The sequence below is a fragment of the Homo sapiens genome, chromosome 11, assembly GCF_000001405.40.
Source record: "Homo sapiens chromosome 11, GRCh38.p14 Primary Assembly".
Classification (NCBI taxonomy): domain Eukaryota; kingdom Metazoa; phylum Chordata; class Mammalia; order Primates; family Hominidae; genus Homo; species Homo sapiens.
Window position 1 is genome coordinate 12,265,588 of NC_000011.10, and position 19,671 is coordinate 12,285,258.

The following is a 19,671-nucleotide window of genomic DNA, read 5'->3' on the forward strand; positions in this document are numbered from 1 at the left end:
AAAGAAGTTCATTGCATGGTATTTTCAAGGTTCATTTAAAACAGATGTTCCTGGGCACCTCTCATAGTGTAGATGATCAGTTAATATTTGTTGATTAAAGAGTCAATGATAAATAGGCAAAGGCTATGAACAGGCAATTTACCCTTAAGCAAATTTTAAAAGTAAACACTAAAAAGAAAAAGCAAGCATTTACAAAAGTATTCCTACTTGGTTTTTAAAGGAAGTAAATTAATTATGGTGCACATGGGCCAGGTGCGGTAGCTCACACCTGTAATCCCAGCACTTTGGGAGGCTGAGGCGGGCAGATCACTTGAGGTCAGGAGTTCGTGACCAGCCTGACCAACACGACAAAACCCTGTCTCTACTAAAAAAAAATTAGCTGGGCACGGTGGCACATGCCTTTAATTCCAGCTACTTGGGAGGCTGAGGCACGAGAATCACTTGAACCCAGGAGGCAGAGGTTGCAGTGAGCTGAGATCATGCCACTGCACTCCAGCTTGGATTACAGAGTGAGACTCTGTCTCAAAAAGAAAATAATAAAAATTATAGTGCATCTACTGAATTAGTAAAGAAAAAAGTAAAACTGTAAGAAAAAAATATGAACTTCATCCCAAGTATTGAGTAAAAAGTAAACTGGGAGAATCTTTTCCTGGGAAGCATTATGGCAACCCTGATTAAGATCCAGAAAAGGGCTCTGACCTCTTGGCCTAATAATTCTACTGCAGGGAATTTATCCTGAGGAAATAATCCAGCAGAAGAAATAAATCTGTGCAACTTGAATGTGTAAGTCGGTCAAGCAGAGTGGGTGGGCTGTTCCCCTTTATTTCTATAAATGCATTCATTTTTACAACTTAAGAAAAAAAAAGGCTTAAGTAAGTAAAAGAAGTTACTGCATCTTTTACTGCCCCCCAGCCAGCTGTTATATAGGGAACATTTTCTCTGTGCCAGGTAGTGGGCCAAGAATTTTATGTGCAGAACTTCGTTAGCTCTTCACCTCCTTGTGGCAACCTTGCGGTCAGTACTGATGTTAAAGAAGCTCCTGATACTAGGGAGGCAGAAGCAAGTCTAGAGCCACATTTTCCACTGTGAAGGGACTGAGTCCCACAGCCCAGGCTAGGAGTCAGGTGCCTGCTCTAAGAGGAACCTCGGTGCATGCTGAGGGCCTGGGCTCCACCAAAGACCAGGCTTTGCTCCCAGCAGTTGGTACTGACTCAGTGGCATTAGACAGGTCCCTTCTGTGAACTGGGGCTAAGGATGCCTCTAGTGTAGGGTTTTTCAAGGTGTCTGACTCTCAGGACAGCAAGATCTCTTTGCCATGTTCTAGATAGCACTTTCCTGATCTTGCACAGCATAGAGCGCCCAGAGGAAAACTTGTCGGGCATTCTCGATTAACTGGGGCTCAGAACGCCTGACAGGACACCTTCAGGTTGGGAACTAGACAGCGGTCTCGATTCACACTGGTGGCACCATCTGCTTTCCTCCAGGTTTCTGATTCCCCAGCCTTCTTAAAGGCAACAGCCACCTCCCTTCGGACACCCAGGCCTCAGCTCTGGAGCTCCCCTTCCCTCCCACCACCTGCCGGTGGACTTTGGTTTTGCCTTAGTGAGTGCCCGAGTCTCAGCAAGGAGGGGGCATAGGCTCTCACTTTGTGCCCAGCTGCCCGCTTGCTCCACACCTGATGTCTACTGGGCATGTCCAGCCCAAATGTCCACTCCAACTGCTGATTTTCCCCCAAAACAGGCTCTGCCCTTAGCCTTCCCCATTTCTGGAGACTGCAATTCCCCTTTTCTTGTTGCTCAGCCCAAAGGCCCTGGAGTCATTCTTGACTCTTCTTTCTCTTGACCTCACACGAAATCCATTAGCAAATTTGAGGAATATCCAGAAGCTGTCCATTCCTCACCACCTCCGCACTAACCACCCTCCGCCACTGTCATCCAAGTTATTGCAGCCACCCCTCTGAGGCCTCCTGCTTCTCCCTTCACCCCTCAACCTCCTCAACAAAACAGCCGGATTATCCTTTTATTTATTTGTTTGTTTGTTTTGAGACAGTGTCTTACTCTGTCACCTAGGCTGGAGTGATGTCAGCTCGCTGCAAACTTCACCTCCTGGATTCAAGTGATTCTTATGCCTCAGCCACCCGAGTAGCTGAGACTACAGGCACCCGCCACCACACCCAGCTAACTTTTGTATTTTTAGTAGAGACAGGGTTTTGCCAGGCTGTTTTCGAACTGCTGACCTCAAGTGATCCTCCCGCCTCAGCTTCCCAAAGTGCTGGGATTACAGGTGTGAGCCACTGTGCCTGGCCTGGATGATCCTTTTAGAATTTATGTCTCACTGCTGCTCAAAACTCCAGCAGCTCTCCAGCTCACTGAATGCAAACTCCATGAGGGCAGGGGTCTTGGTTGCCTTTCAATGCTTGTATAACCCCGACAGAATTGCACTTAGCACATAGTGGGCCCTCAAAAAATATTTTTAGGATATATGCCCTCTGGCCTGGACCTCAGACTGCAGAACATGCAGCCATCTCGGGCTGGGGAAGGTCTGGCTGGCATCCAGCATGGTTCAGGAGGGAGACCTGGAGGAAGAGAAGTCTGACATTGTGTGTCCTGGCTGCCACTGCAGACCCCCTGATTATGAGAAGGGAGTTTTGATTTTGCTTCTATTTTGCCTTCTGAGGGGCATCATTGTCATGTACAACTCTTGGGAGAGCTGGGTCTGCACAGCAGCAGGTGGGCCTTGGATGCCTCCTCTCAGGGACAAGCTGAGGTTGGCAGCAGAGAGCAGTTCCAGCAGCATCCCTTTTGGGGCATCAAGGCCCAGGCCACTGGCCCACACACATCCTCTGTCCCCTCTTCACTGTGCCTTGCTCTGGGGTCCTGACACAGGAATCCAGGTGGCAGATGTGAGACAAGGGACAGGGTGGGGAACACTCCACCCACCATAACCTGGGCTGGAGGGTGCGGCCCCCATGCCAAGGCATATGGGTGGCTCAGCATGGCTTTGATCCCCTGAGCCCAGTTATCCTGCAAGTGCCTATAACTGAGACCAAGAGAGGCTGCCTGCCCGGCAGCAGAGGGGCTGAGGAAGCAGGGGACCCACCCTCAGATAAAGAGGCCAACTCGGCCGGGCGCGGTCGCTCACGCGTGTAATCCAAGCACTTTGGGAGGCCAAGGTGGGCGGATCAGGAGGTTAGGAGATCGAGACCATCCTGGCTAACATGGTGAAACACTGTCTCTACTAAAAATACAAAAAAAAAAAAAAATTAGCCAGGCGTAGTGGCAGGCGCCTGTAGTCCCAGCTACTCGGGAGGCTGAGGCAAGAGAATGGTGTGAACCCGGGAGGCGGAGCTTGCAGTGAGCCAAGATTGTGCCACTGCACTCCAGCCTCGGCGACGAGCGAGACTCCGTCTCAAAGGAAAAAAAAAAATAAGAGTCCAACTCTTCCATTTGTAGGAGCCTAGAAATGCCAGAAGATCAGATTTTCTCTTTTCCCATCCCCAACCCACACCAGGCCCTGGCTGTGACTCCCTTGGGGACATGTGGCAGCTGGACGGGGATTGTTTGCTCAGTGCTGGGGTCTTGCTGCTGCTCTGGCCAGGTTCTGAACAGGAGGGAATGACAGTGGGCCCCAGGCTACTTCCCTTCCTGCTTTACAGGGTTGCTGCTGGGCTGCCTTCCGAGAAACTTAGAGTTCTTCCTGCCCTCCTCATTCAGAGGAATGCGGGTATGGGTCCTGGCTGTGCCCAAAGCTGAAGGCTCACAGCTGGCCAGACACAGTGCCTGTAGTGTCAGAAGAAGAGGGAAGAAAAGAAGCAGGTTCCAAGAAGAAGGCTCCAGACATGCTGCTGTTAGCAAAGAAATTCAGCTTCCCTGATACTCTGGAGCCTGCAGAGCTGTTGGGAAGATACAGCGTGTGCCCCCACCCCTCACCTGAATGGAGGAGTCCTGGTGTCCAGAGGGAGCCATGTGCTGAGGGCTGGTGCCAGATCGCCAGCCGTCTGTGGCAGCATTTCCCTGTGTCTGGCCCAGTGTCCAGGATGAGGGCTTCGTGGGAGGAGCTGCTCAGCTCTGCTGAGGGCCGTGGGGAAGGGGCTGAGGCTCGGCACTGCCTGTCAAAGCTTGCATCTTCCTCAGGTTTACATTTTAATTTATTGGTCCCTGCACAAAGGCTACTGCTAGGGCCAGCCAGGGCCCCTTGAATGACGCCTGGCTTGTGGGCAGTGGAGGGTGTGTCCGTGTGTATCTGCACACCTACACACACGGGCCAGGTCCACTCCTGGAAGGAGTACAGCAAGGCAGGACAGCCATGCCCCAGGGCAGAGGAGCCAGAGGCCGAAGATTGCCCATCAATTGGTTCACCCCCTGAAGATCCGTGGACTCCTGTTCCCATGACTGCACCCTGAGGGGTCACTCTCAGAAGCCCCCATGAGGGCAGCCAGCCCATCTTGGTACCTGTGCCTTTTCCCTAAAGGGCCACACACTGAAAAGGACTTTGGCTCTGGCATCGACTAGTCTCCTTCCCAGAGCAATTGTGACATACACTGGCAGTGGGTAGAAGGACTGCCTGCCACAAGCATCTTCCTAGGGCCCTCCCTCATCCTGCTGGGGACTTGTAGTGTCCCCTCTTATAAGAGGGCAGGGAGGCCACTCTGCTCAGAATCCCAGATATCTACCTGTGTGTGCTCAGATGCCTTCCCCGCCCTTCTCTGGCTGGCTCTGTATTGAAAAGGCGTATCCCTTGCAAACTACATTTTCCAGCTCCCTTGAAACTGGCTTACTGTTAGTTTTGACTGCTGGACGCGCTGGTGTGGGGCTGGAGGGCAGGATCCAAGGGGAAGCCAGGGTGTCCCTCCCAGCTCCCTGCCTTGCAGCAGTGGCAGTGTTGTGGCCTCTGGGCTCTGGTGGCACCAGCTCTTCTCCTTGTCCCTCTGCTGTTGAGGGACAGTGGCCTGCTGCTGCTCCTCTCTGGGTTGCTTCATCCCTGTTTGGCTTTTAGCTCTTCCGGCACCATTGCAGTTCATTTCCTGTCTGGATGCTTCTGTTGAACTCCCTGGCTTGGCCCTGTCTTCCTGACTGGATCCTGATCCTCTTAGTTTTGCCGCTTTCTTTCTCAACTTTTCTCTGCAGAGAGAACAGTGGACAGTGGCCAGAGATGGCTCTGGCCATTAGGAGCTGTGTGACATTGGTCAAGTGTGATAACTCCTCCAAGCTTTGGTTTCCTTTCCTGCAAAGTGGGGTTAATAGCAGCACACAGGAGGCCTGTTGCGTTGTCATCTCCCTGGGTTCTGGGGGTGAGTGGAAGAGTTTCAGACTTGAGTAGAAAGCAGCAGCAATTTCACCCGCAGAACCAGGGAGTGCCGCGCCTCTCCATAACCCTGCGGCAGGGGTCTGGCCAGGAAAGGGCCTCTGGACCTGGCTGTTGGGAGCCATGTGTGAGGACAGACGTTTCCCCAGACCCTGCCTGGCTCTGCCTTTCCCAGGCTCATAGGTAGGCCTTGGACCCGGCACTTAGGATCTTTGAAGTCCTATCTTTTGTCAGGGAGCAGGTATCTGGCCAGAGCTGAGATGAGGCTGAGGTGCTCAGTTCTGGGCAAAGCTGCTTCGTGCCACAGGCTGGCAGCAGCTGCTCTGCAGGGTGCTGGATCCTTCTCACCCATGACTCCTAGGTACCTCCTCTCCTGTCATCCTCCAGCCCCCATTAGAGTCCTTCATTCTCCAAATGAGCAAAGATGGCTTCAGGCAAACTCTTAAAGAGCAGCCAGCCTCAGGGAGACAGCAAGAGGGCTGGTGGTGTGGGCATGCAGCACAGGTGAGCACACCTGGCTCTTCACCTGGGGCTGGCCACATGTGCAGCTGCTCTGTGCCCAGCAGCCGGAGGCCCAGCTGCGGTGATACCCAGCACTGTGCACTCACTGGCTGGCCTGGTGGGTGTTCTCTCTGGACTCCAATCTTTTCCACTCATCCTGTGAGGATGCTAATACCGTTCTCTTAGGGCTGTTGGGATGCTAGGGTGGATGAAGGCATATGGGCACTCGATGAGTCAGTGTTGCTTTTGTTACTGTCATTAGCATTATTTCCAGTATTTGTACTAGTGCCACTAGTATTACTACTGTTATACGCACACAGATGGAGCTGTCTGGGAATGAAAAGAGATATCTGGAAGTAGCCACTTGACTGGAGGAATTTTCTCGTGGAGGTGGCACTGAACCCCATAAAACCCAGCACTAGCCATGGCCTGAGTGTTAGACTGCAGAAGTCGGGGAGGAGACTGGCCTCCTTTGAGGCTTTTTGTCTGGGCACATTGGCAAAAGGGGGCCCAGAGGAAGTACCAGCTTCTTTTTTACAGAGTCTCTACCTCAACACTGCTGTCCCTGCCCTGATGTCTGGGTTCACTGTGAGAGACGCTGGCCCTGGCTCTGTGCTCTGAGAGGCCATCTGTCAGCCGTGCCCTCCACCCTCCTGGAGCCCAGGGAGCCAGGCTGAGCCCTGGCCTGTTCCATCCCTCCATGGAAGGAGGAAAGAGAAAAGCAGGACACTGGGTGTTCCTTACAGGTTTGGTCTGGGCTCTGAGGCGTGGGGGCTGTGGGTCTGGTACCTCTGCAGACTGGCATAGCTGAGCTTGCCTTGGCCACCCGCAGCCGCCTCATCCTGCTAGGCCACCCTGGACTCCACCACTCTCTCCCCTCATCCCCAAGCCCAGTCATAGCAGTGCCTTTAACCCAAAGCTGCTATTGCATGGAAGTCAGATCTCCCTCCCCTTCTGCCTCTTCCATGCCTCACTCTTACATGCTTTGTCTTATCACGTAGATATTTGTGAACATGCCTTATCTCCCTTGTGAGACAGAAAGAGATCCTTGAAGGCAGGGATTGTGGTGGCAGGTTCATCCCCAAACCCCTAGCACAGGCCTGGATCTGAGGAGGACACAGCATCTATTGGAAATACAAGCATTTGGGCACACAGCTCATAGGCACACAAGAAGCAAGGCATGGAGCTGGGTCTTTGCCACAGTCATTCTATGTAATAAGCCTCCCCAGTCTCAGTGGCATATGGCACCTATTTTCTTGCTCAGGAGTCTGTGGGTTGACTGAGTAGCTCTGCTTCAGGCTGTAGGTCTAAGGGCGAGGGAGGCCCCAAGGGATTGACTGGGTTGGCTCCAGGCTATAGCTTGGCTCCAGGTCTGTTCCATGTGCCCTCAATCAGGGACCCTGACTGAAGGGGTAGTGGCCACCTGCGACAAGTTCTTTTCATGTAACCTAGCAGGAACATGAGTGACAGCCAACTGGCAGGCCCACTTAAAGCCTCTGCTCACGTCCCATCCACGAGTTACCACAGGTCAAAGCAAGCCTTGCCGCCAAGCCTCACGTCCATGGGGCAGGGCTATACACCCCACCAACTCCAGCAGGAAGGACTGCAAAGTCACAGCGTAAAGCGCAACTCTAGTATAGGGAGGGAGAAAAGAACTGGGGGCACTTTCCAGCCAAAACTCCCAGCACAAAGGTCATGCGCAACAGTGTCCATTCATGGTTCTGTTGTGCTCACAGACACGCAGACTGATCCCCGTCCTCTGACAGAATACATGACCTTGTGCTGGTGTCGTAACCTCTCTGTGCTTGAGTTTTCTCAGCAGGAAAATGGGGGTAATAACAACGCTTTTCTGAGAGGATCGGGTGAGATTTAATAGACTTAATACATGTCAAATGCTCAAACAATTATTGGTATATATTGAGCACCCAATAAAAGTAAGCTGCTACTGCTTTTATTATGACTAATGCTGCCACCACCACCACCATCGCCATGTCATTATTATTATGTAGTGAAGCATCTGACTACATTCCTCAAATGCCTTCCATCCCCAGTTACACTAACTTAGAAGTGTAGACACGTGCACACAGCAAGCATCCACACGCACCAGGGGCTACAAACTAGCAACCCACTTGCTCAGTCTGCTGCAGACATGTTTTTTTTTTTTTTTTGATGTGTCTGATATTTTAAGATGAGGTATTTCACATAAAAATCAAAATTTCTTCAGTCATCTTCACAGGTGATAAATACAGTTTGGGAAGAGATTGTATCTCCCAGAGAGAACACATGGGTAAAAAGATGAGAGGGCTCAGGTGGATGCATGGAGAACCCAGGTGTTTAAGGGTTGGCTGGAATACTGGATAGCTGAGACGGCCAGCCACAGGGGCAGGGAGAGAAGGTGTCCCCAGGAGCAGGGACAGGGCAGGCTCAAGGACCGCAGGAGGACTCCCAAAGTCCTGTGAATTGGACTTAGAAACAAGGAGGTCACTGTGGACTGTGCTGGGGGTAGTTTGGGAGTGGTGGAGGCACAGGCAGGATTATAGGAATAGAGGGTTCATAAAGAAGAGGAGAGAGAGAAGAGTGTAGCCAACCCTTCCAGGAAGCTTGGCTAAGAAGGAAGAAGAAAGAGTAGGCTGGGGGCTGGGGGTGAGGACTGGGATTAAAACAAGTTTTCTTAAGACAGGAGACTTTCAGCATATTTAAATATAGACAGGAAAGATTCAGTAGACAAATGAGGACACAAGAATGACACTGTGGAGAGGGAGGAGGGAAGTGAGAGGGAGCCAAGTTCAGGTGAAGGCTCCATCTTGAAGAGGAAAAATGACACCTGTTCTCTGGACACTGTCCCTGGAGATGAGGTCACCTAGCTAGTTAGTGGCCAAGACAGAGCTGGGCGCATTCACTCATGAACTCATTCAGCAGACACTCACTGAACGCCTACCGTTCACCAGGTACCACCCTAGCAACAAATGAAACAGACAAAAATCACTGCTTACATTCTAGTCATAGAAGAAAGAGACAATAAACAAAATGAAAAAAGGAAATTGTATAGTTTATTGGAGGGTGAGACACACTATGAATGAAAATCAAGGGGAATGGAGAGCACTGAGGCATGGGCTGCAATATTAAATAGGATGGTCAGGGCAGGTGACGTTCCACCAAGGACTTGAAGACAGCCAGTGAGTGAATGAGGCCTGCATGGAAACGTCTGGGGATAACACCTTCCAGGCAGAAGCAAGAGCAGTGCAAGGGGTCTGAGAAGGACGTGTGCCCAGAGTGCTGGAGGAGCATCACGGAGGTGCCATGGTGAGGACAGGGCAAGCCTGGGGCCAGTGCTAGGAGACAAGGTCACGGGACGCACTGGGGACTACGTTATCTTGGACTTTGCAGGCCTCGGTAGGGCCTTCAGCTTTCACCCTGAGTAAATGAGGGGCCACTGGGTGATTTTAAGCAGAGGAGTGGCATGATCTCACTCAGGTTTTAACTGAGTCACCCTGGCTGCTGTGTTGAGAATAGACTGTGGGGGTGGGGCACAGCAAGAGGCAGGGACGGAGGCCAGGCAGAGGCAGTTTCTATGATCCAAGCAAAAGACAATGGTGGCTGGACCAGGAGTGGGAAGCAGAGAGGCGGTGAGAGGGGTCTGGATTCCCGACGTGTTTTGAAGGCAGACCCACCAGGATTTGCCGATGACTTGAATGAAGAACGAAAGGACAAGAGCAGTCAAAGATGCTGGCGAGGTGTTGGCTGGAGCAACAGGAAGCTGAAGTTGCCATTTACTGAGAGGGGGAAGGCTATGGGCAAGACATGTTGGGTGGGTGGAGAAGATGAAGAACTCTGTTCGGACTTGTTGAGTCTGATGTGTCTGTTAGACACGTAGACGGAGATGCAAGTGAGCAGTGGTCTATATAAGTCTAGAATCAGGAATGTCCAGGCTGGAGATAGAAATCTGGGGGTCATTGTTGCCTGGGGTTATTTAAAGCCATGAGACCAGATGAGGGCATCAAGAGCATGAGTGTAGACAGAGAAGAAAAGAGGTTCAGAGACTGAGTCCCGGGATCTTTCAGTGTTACAAGGTCAAGGGGAGAAGGTGGAGCCAGGAGAGGAAATGAAGGAGATAGCCAGTGAAGAAGGGGCTGGGGATTGGGCAGGCCTTGCCATCCTAGAAGCTGAGAGAGCTGTTTCTAGGACGGAGTGACCAGCTGGGTCAAATGCTGCTGGTGTGTAGAATAGTCGAATAAGATGAGAACTGAGATGTTACCACTGGATTTAGCAACATGTTGGATGTTGCCGTCTTGACAGCAGCAGTTCAGAGGCTGGTTAGCCTGGAATGGCCCCTCTGAATGTTTCAGAACCTTCCCTGTGGACTAAATGGGATGATCTGTGCATTCACGCCCTACATGTGGGAAATATGCCCTAAATGCCTGGGCATCTGGCAGGCTCGGGGGTGAGGGTTCCAGAGGTGGCACGGAGGACAAGAAGGTCAGCTTTGGAGTATCTGAGTAGACCCCAGGCCTAGAGGGGCCCTGAGCCCCTGGAAGGGTCCTGCTAGGCCATTCATTTGCACCATCTCTCTAGACCCTGCTCTCCTCTCAGCAGATGAGCCCACCTCCCCCAAGAGGCCGAAGAGCATCTCTGAGCCACAGCACAGTGATGCGGAAGGGGACGCTGCCTCTCCCCTGCCCTCCGAGTGGACCTCAGTGAGGATCAGCCCTGGGGAGGAAGCAGCTGGACAGGATGTGCTGGCTGTGCGTGTCCTGGTCACCAGCGAAGACAGCAGGTATGCTCAGGCTGCTGCCAGATGGGGACAGAAGCGGGGTTGGAGGAAGGGAATCACATTTGGGATTGGGTCTTCTCTCTACTTGCTTGCAGTGTGGCCTCTCTGTGCCTCCATTTCCTCATCTGTAAAATGGCGACAATCATAGTACCCATCTCAGAGGGAGTGGTAAGATTCACAGAATTCATATGTGTTAAGTGTATAGAACAGTGCCCACACGTCATAAGCACTGTAAGTGTTAGCAATTGTTATTTTCTTGGGAAGAGAAAGGGCCTGGCCCCATGCTCTTCTCAGGAGGCAGTGTCATGCTGACTGTAGTGAGGGGTGCAGAATGGGTGTCACCTGTCCCGAGGGCCGCCCACTGCAAGATGGTGATGCATGGGGCTGGGCAGGCTAGGATTCAGAGTGGGGAACATGAGGAGCGAAGCCCTGGTGCCTTAGGTGACTGTTTCTCAGAGCGCTGTCCTCATCACCTGCATCAGAAGCACCTGGAGTGGTTATTAGACATGCAGACTCCAGGACTCGCCCAGATGCACTGAATTCACTCAAGAGGTAAGTCAACAGCAGGTATTGATTGCTTATTATTTACTAGACTCTGAGGAAATAGCAGCGGCCAACACAAGACAAGGTCCTTGCTTTCCCATGGTTTCCATCACATTGGGAGCCATCTAGGAAGCAAGTTAAGTAGCTAAACAAGAAAAGCATCACCTATGCGCCAGGTCGATAAATAAAATAGACACATATGCTAGAGAGTGGCTGGTCAGCTGCCTTAGATTGGGTGGCCAGGAAAAGGCCTCTGTAGCAATTATTGATGCCCACAATAATGCTGAGTGACAAACCAGCCCCAAAGCGAGTGACTTAAACCAGCCACCGTTCATTACACCACGATTGTGTAAAAAAGTAGACCGGAGTAAGCCAACCCTGACCAAGTAAGCCAGGTGCAGCTGGGCAGTTGTGGTCTTGGTGGGCTCGCCTGTGTGTTTGGGCCAGTAGGGTTCTGCTCTGGAGCCTGCGTGTCAGCTGGGGTGACAGAGGGCTATTGGGCCGTGGGTCTTTCATCCTCCAACTGGCAGTCCAGGCTTGTTAAGAGAAAGAGGGGAGGCATCCAAGATCTCCTGAGCCCCAGGCTTGACAACGCACAGTGCTGCTCCAGTGCCATCTGATTGGCTACAGCATGTCACAAGGCCTAAACAGATTCAACAAGTGGGGAATAGGCTGCTCTCTTTAGGGGAAGAGCTGCAAAGCCCCCATTGCAAAGGGGCATGGATCTAAAGGGAATAATTGCAACCATCTTTGCAGACAAATTCCCACAGCCTCCCAGAGGAGGTGACATTTAAGCTGAGAATTGGTTGGCAAGAAAGGACAGCAAAGGGAGAAGGGGAATGCAGGAAGTGACAACAGCTAGTGACAGGCCCCTGGGTGAGACTGAGTGTGTCTGGGCTAAGAGAAGGTCGGTGCGGCAGGTACACCCTGAGTGGGAAAAGAATAAGAGATTACACCAGGAAGGAAGGCAGGAGCAAGGCTTATAAGACAAGGTAAGGAGTTTAAATTGTGTTCTGGGTATCCAGTCATGCATCGCTTAATAGCCGAGATATGTTCTAAGAAATGTGTTATCAGGTGATTCTGTCATTGTGTGAACATGATAGAGGGCATTTATGCAAACCTAGATGGGCAAGCTCACTCCACTCCTGGGCTATATGGTGTAACCTATTGCTCCCAGGCTACAGACCTGCACATTGTGTTACTCTACTGAATACTATCAGCAATTGTAACACAATGGTAAGTATTTGTGAATCTAAATATATATAAACATAGAAAAGGTACAGTAAAAATACAGTAGAAAATATAAAAAATGGTTCACCTATATAGGGCACTTACTATAAATGGAGCTCACAGGACTGGAAGTTGCTCTGGGTGAGTGAGTGGGTGAGTGGTGTGTGAGTGTGAAGGCCTAGGACATCGCTGTACACTACTGTAGACTTTATCACACTGTGCACTTAGGCTACCCTACATTTATTTGAAAAATATTTTTCTTTCTTCAATAATAAATTGGCTTACTGTAACTTTGTTACTTTCTAAACTTCTTTATTGTAGTAACACAGCTTAAAACACACACACACATTGAATAGCTGGAAAAATATTTTCTTTCTTTATACCCTTATTCTATAAGCTTTTTTATTCTTTACTTCTTAACTGACTGGCAGCACTGTAGGTTTTAAACCAGCATCACTGCAAACACGTGAGTGACACCTTTCCCTACGATGTTAACAAGGGCTGCGGCGTAAATAGGTGATAGGAATTTTCCCGCTCCATTATAATTTTATGGGACCACCATCAAATATGGGTTATATTGCTGACTAAAACATCATTATGAAAGACATGACTGTAATTCAAAGAATTTTTAAGTAGAAGAGTAACATCTCATTTACAGTTTTCACAGATCAGCAGGCCTCGCTTTGGGGAATGGATGAAGCAGGCGTGTGTGAGGATAAAGGCAGGAAGAGCAGGTGGAAGCCTGCAGCTCGGGGTCAGGATGGGAGCAGTGGAGATGGATTTGTTAATGGACTGAATGAGAGGGAAAGAGAATTTCAGAGTGACTCTCAGAATTTTTCCAGAGTGACTGAATGGCTGGTATGGTCATTTCTAAAGTTATCTTGAGGTGGGGAAGATTTCAGAGAAGGTGCACGTTAGTGGAGAAAGTCAAGAGTTCTGTTTTGGGCACGTTGGGTTTGAGATGCCGGTGTCTTTGTGGATGTCAGGTAAGTGGTTGAATATGTAAGTGTTCTGGGAGGCAGGGCTGGAGATGGTGATTTTAGAGGCTATTAAAGCCCAGGGCTCTGATGGGTTGTTTCCACAGTAAGAATATCTTCCTGTAGACAAAGAAGAGCTGGGCTCAGAAGAGAGCTCTGGGGCATTTGAACATTCAGTAGGCAAGTGGAGAAGGAGCTAGCAAAACCCACTGGGGAGCAAAGGAACCAGGAGATGGCACGTGGTGGAAGCCAAGAGAAGAAAGTGTCTCAAGAGGGAGGGTTTGGTTCTCTGCATCAGAGGCTGCTGGAGAGCCCAGTCGGATATGTATAGAGAAATGACCTTTGGACTTTCCAACGGGAGGCTCATTGTTAACTTGGACAAAGTGGCCTCGGTGGAGTGAACGAGTAGATGTGGGGAGAACATGAGGGGAAAGCAGGGACTGCAGTTGTAGACAACTGGCTCGTCAAGTCTTGGTCATGCAGACTCTGGAATGGGGCTTGGGAACATAGGCTTGAGCATCCCACAGGTGATTCATTCTGATGCCCAGAGAAGGGAAATGACCTGCCCTGGATCACACAGCCTTCAGAGTCTTCTAAGCCTCCACGTAGGCAGGCCTGTTTCCATAATAACAGGCAGAAACCCAACTCAAACTAGCTTCGGTAACAAAGGCAAATGCATCGGCTCGTCTGACTGGGAAGTCCAAGGGTGGTCCTCATTCAGGCAGGGCAGGAGCCAGAGTCTCAAACAGCCCCTCTCCCTTCCTGCCTCTCTCTCTGCTGCTTTTACAGCCATTGGCAGAGAGGCTGTCTCCACACATGGAACTCGGCTACTGAGGGTCTCAGACCGTATCCATAAATTCATGTCCTCAGGTCAGGATGCCAAGGCAGGCCTCCAGCTGCTACTCCCACATCACATACTTCCCTCTGGGAACAATCAGTGAACAGGACTGGGGCACCATGACCAGCCAGGCTTGGGCACTCTGATGGATAGGGGGTCTGCCATAGACACAGGTGGACGAGTGGCAGTGACCTTGTGGAAGGAACCCTGCTGGATTTCCATGTACAGAGAGTGTGTGGATATATATAGTTTCACTAACACATCACTGCTTGAGCAGTTTTGTACTTTCCCATCCTGGAACTGCGTGTGCTTGGGCTGCCCCTCTGTCTAGGACACCCTGCCTCCACTTCTTTGCCACTTGAATTCCAGTTATTTAAGGCCCATGTTAAATACCACCCACCCCTCACCCCCACCCAGGTAGAATTTTCCATTCCCTCATCCATTCCATGGGGAAGAGAGCAGTATTTAAATGCCTGAAGTTTCGGGACCAAGTCCCTAATGATGAGCTTATCTGACCAGAGAGACCTTAGGAGTCATGCTCCGGGGCAGGTGCAGGTGAGCAGAGCAGGCTTTATTCAAACAGCTCCTCATGCATTGCTGGGCCCCTTCTGCTCTGAGCCAAGCCTGTATTGTTCTGCTCTGGCTGCCATAACAAAGCACCACAGACTGGGTGGCTGAAACAACAGAAACGTATTTTCTCACTGATTTGGAGGCTGGAAGTCTGAGATCAAGGTGTGGGCAGGGTTGGTTCCTACTGGGGGATTGGAGGGAAGGATCTGTTCCAGGCCTCCCTCTTTAGCTTGTAGATGGCATCTTCCTGTTTGCATAGTGTTTTCCTTCTGTGCCTGTGTGTGTCCACATTTCCTCTTCTTAGAAAGATATCAGGTGCATGGGACAAGGGCCCAGCCTAACAACCTCATTTTACCTTAATGACCTCCTTAAAGGCCTTATCTCTAGATGCAGTCATATCTGAAGGTACTTGGGGTTAGGACTTCAGCATATGAGTTTTCAGGAATACAATTCAACCCATAACAAAGTCCGAAGCTGGGCTCTGGGCACACAGGACTAAGCCCAGGCCCCCCAGGTGCGCTGGAGCAGTCCTGGGCAGGACGCAGTGTGGGTGTGTTGGGGCATGGGTTCCAGGCCCCCTGACTCACCCACCCACTCCTTCCTCCTTCCAGCTCTGACACAGAGTCTGACTATGGTGGCAGCGAGGGCTCCCACACAGAACCCTGTGAAGAGAAACCCTGGCGGCCAGGATCCCCGCATCTACCGCACACGTCCCTAGGGGAGGCCCTGAGCAGGGCAGTCTCTCCACAGTGCCCTGAGGAGCCCAGAGCTGTGCACGGTAAGCAGAGAGCCCACCAGGCTTGATTCTGGGAAGTGGGGAGGGAACAGAGACCCCCACAGCTGAATTTCCCTCTTGGAGGACCAGGTGACAGGAAGCCTCGCCCTCAGGCTTCAAGGCGGTGGGGCTAGGACCTTTGGGGAGTGGGACGCAAGTGGCAGTGAAGGGACTTGAACCAGGCCTGGCTTCCCTCTCCATGAGAAGCTTTGGAATCCCAGTGGGGAAGACATCACGGGGACTGGCTGGCTGTGGTTGGTCACAGGCTGGCAGGGATCAGGGGCCCGCAGGTCTCTCTTGCCTGGAGTGATCGCTCTCCTGCCTCCTGTATGGGCACCTCCTTAGGGGCCCCTCCAGCATCCCATAGCCCCTGAGGGAAGGGAGCTGGGTCCAGCTGCTGTTGGACAACATGCAGCCCTGGATGGCATCATCTCCCTGGGACCACCTGCACAGCACCGGGGCCATTACCAGTGTTTGGGGCTTGTGGGATGCACCCAAACTTCTACACAACAATTAATACACTTTTACTGCATACCTGTAATGGGCCAGGACTTTTCCCATACGTGTGGTCATCCCAGGATGACCCTGTGGGGTAACTAGTGCGAAGCCTGTTTCACAGGTGAGCAAACAGGCTGAGTGGTCTCCCGAAGTCTCAGCCAGTGCTGGTGCCACCCTCCAGCCACCACTGCCCAAGCTCTGGCTTACTAAGAGGTAGCTGTCTTTAGCAGCCCAGCTTGTGTTTAATACAAAGTTGACCTGGAACTGAGTGTTTTGATTCAGTCAACAATTTGGGACCAAATCGTCTGATTTATGGGTAACTTCTGGACGAGCCTGGGAAGAAACAGTCTAACCTGACGGAAACTTGCTGCCCAATGGCCCCACAGCCTTAGTTGCCCTGGGAGAGCTGGAGCTCAACTTGTCCTGCATCGCCACCTGGTGGTCATGAGCAGAATTGCCACCTGGTCCGTGAAATGTTTTCAGGAGTGATGGTTTCCCAGGAAGACGAGGGCTGGGGCGGAAAGAACTCATATAGATATTTTTAAATCCTGGAATTGTTGAATTTACTCTAGAAATGTTGAATTTTACCCTCATTTTTTAAAAAAGTGACACTTTTTAAAAAGGACAGATTATCATCCAAACACATTTGTTAAGTACCATTTGTGGGGCTGTGCAGAAAGGCTCAGCACTGGCACTGAACTGAGTACTCTCCTGTGCCCAGCTGGGTCCAGCCCCACCTCTGGTTACTGCGTGGCCTTGGTGTACCCTTCCATCCCCCTGGGCTCCAGCTCCCCATTTCCAGATATGAAGTTGGCCTGCCTTTCATCCCTTCCCTCCATTTCCCCTCCAATTGCCAGACGGTTTTAGGCAACTTACAAGAAAAACATAAAACAAAATTGTACATTTATAAATATGAAAGATCAAGCCTCAAAATCAGGTCTAACAAAACCAGTTTAGGAGGGATAGACCCCAGAGAGGCAGACCATAATCCTAAACAGTTGCTCTAATTGAATCATAAGTTTGATTCTGAGTTTTCTAGCTTCCAGCATTTAAAAGGAAACACAGAACATCGTTACTCTCATTGTTTATGAGGAAAACATATATTGGTTTGCAGCAGGTCTCTGAGTAGGCACAACTTCTCCTAATGCTTAACTCTGTAGTTTCTGGCTCATACCAAATAGATGATATTGAGAAATGTGTTCGATCATGTCTTAACAGTTCCTCAGAAAATGCAGCCTTAGTATTCTCGAGGCTGTTTCTTACAGCAACCCTTGCTGGAAGGTGAGGGCATGACAAAAAAACATGACTCAGTGATAGCAGTTTTCTTAGCGGGATGGGGTTGTGTTGGGAGACTAGTTGGGTTGGGTAGTGAAGCCAAAGCATTTTGTTTCTGACAGTCCAGTTTAACGCCAGAATAAAATACAGAGTAGGTAAGTGGGTAGAATGCGTGACTCTCAAACAATTCTTTGTCGAGTTAGTCTTCATCAGTCATTGTTTTATCATTGCTAGGTGGACCACATTGTACAGTTAAGCTCTCTGGCACAGGTCTAAGTGCTGTGCTTTGTGCTGCTGGTTATGGTAACCCCATCACTTTACCAAATAATGCAGGGTTGACCCTTTGTGTGGGTTTTATGGAGCTTCATTAACCACAATTCTCACCTGGATAAATGCCTCCAAGGTAGACCAAGGGAATGCCAGACAAGACCAGGATATTGCTTTGAAAAGACTCCTGGTTGCAGTGTGGAGTTTAAAAAAAAAAAAAAAAAAAGACTCTACGTTGGTCCAGCCATGCTCATAGAAGCATTATTCACATTAGCCAAAAGGGGGAAACAAATCAAATGTTCAACAGACAAATGGATAAACAAAACGCAGTATATCCATACAGCAAAATGTTATTCAGACTTTAAAAAGAAGGGACTCTGACATGTGCTACAACTTAGATGAACCTGCAAAGCATGCTGCTAAGGGAAATAAGCCAGTCATAAAAGGACATACATCAGTTTGGGATGAGGGCAGAGTTCTGGAGATGGGTGGTGGTGAGGTGGTGATGGCTGCACAGCAGGGTAAGTGTACTTAATGTCACTGAAATCTAGACTTAAAAATGTATAAGTAACAATTTTTATATTATGTATATTATTTTCCACAATTTTTAAAAAGACTTCGGGGACTACCTTGGCACATGAAGAAACTTATTACATCCTCAAAGTTCACAGAGCGTGCCCAAGAGGATGGCCTGAAATACAGCTCACACCCTATGTTATGGAGGCTGCAGAAAGCCCCCTAAAACATCAGGGTCAGGGATTCGTGATAATCTTGTTTAAAAGGCAGATTCCCAGGTTCTCACCATCAGAAATTCAGATTGAGTGGGTCTGGAGTGGTGCCAAGTGTGTGCATTCTGTGTAAGCATCCCCAGGGGCTTTGACACAGTGGACCATGTTCTACACTTTGGGAGTTTCAGAAATGCAGCTTTGTGGAAGGCCTTCCTAGATGAATTCATTGTGAAATCCACACCCAAGCAACTAAATGAATCGATCTAGTGCATTGGACTCTTAGCTATAAACTAATTAGATTTAGGAGAACAACCTGCCCCGAATTATTCTGGCTTAGAGGAATTGATATTTATCCATCTTTTTTTCTGGCAATAATTTGATCCAATGGAATATGGAGGACACTTATCAGTTTGTAGCAATGAAATGATATCATCAGCACCACATGGGAAAATACCCTCTCACTCCTTTTACAGTGGGTCATGCACTAAGATCTCTGAAAGTGCTCCTTTAAAATAAATAAACACACATAGAATATAAGCTAAAAAGAAGGGATCAGCCCACTTTATGCTGCTCAGCATTACTAGATGAAGTCATTACTACCCACCCTATTGTTCCCGTTGTGGTAAAAATGTGTGCATGTGTGTTCTATTAACACCAGTGATGGAAAATCTCTCTTGAACTTTAGCCATTTCCAATAGGTTCCATTCCACAAAGTTACAAGCTAAGAAGAAGCAATTAGAGCTTTATGCAATTTTTTTTTTTAGAAATGTCTTCATTAAGTGATTAAGAGGCTAGCTTTGGCCAGCAGGATGTAGCTGTGCTTAAGACCTGCTTGCTCCTTATGGAAAACATCCAGCCTGGAAAGCCCAGGCAGCCAGCAATTGGGGGGTGGGCTATTCATCTCCTCATGGGGAGCTGGGAAGACTGTGTGCCCATCCATACAGGCTCCTCCTCAAACCCATGGGCTTGATTTTGAGAGCAGGCCTGTGGGATTGGGAACCTGCCAGACAGAGCAGACATGAAGCGCCTCCAAATGTAACCACCCGAAGGGTTCTCCTTGCCTGCTGCCTAGACTGAGCTGATTTCTCAAGACAGGGGAATTGCGATAGAAAAAGAGTTTAATTTACACAGAGCTGGCTGTACAGGAGACCAGAATTTTATTATTACTTAAATCAGTCTCCCTGAAAACTCGGGGATCAGGATTTTTAAAGATAATTTGTTGAGAAGGGGTTCGGAAAATGGGGAGTGCTGATTGGTCAGGTCAGAGATGAACTCATAGGGAGTCAAAGCTGTCCTCTTGCACTGAGTCAGTTCCTGAGTGGGGGCTAAAAGACCAGATGAGCCAGTTTATCAATCTAGGTGGTGCCAGTTGAACCTCTGAGCGCAGAGTCTGC

The 19,671-nt window shown here is 49.8% G+C and overlaps 1 protein-coding gene across 1 annotated transcript in view; it reads left to right on the plus strand.

Annotated features, from left to right (window-relative positions):
- Nucleotides 1–19,671, plus strand: part of MICAL2 (microtubule associated monooxygenase, calponin and LIM domain containing 2) — a 251,551-nt gene that overhangs the window by 154,998 nt on the left and 76,882 nt on the right. Inside the window, exons 27-28 of the mRNA NM_001393937.1 lie at nucleotides 10,399–10,579; nucleotides 15,346–15,512. Coding sequence (NP_001380866.1) covers nucleotides 10,399–10,579; nucleotides 15,346–15,512 — 348 coding nt within the window. The remainder of the gene's footprint in view (nucleotides 1–10,398; nucleotides 10,580–15,345; nucleotides 15,513–19,671) is intronic.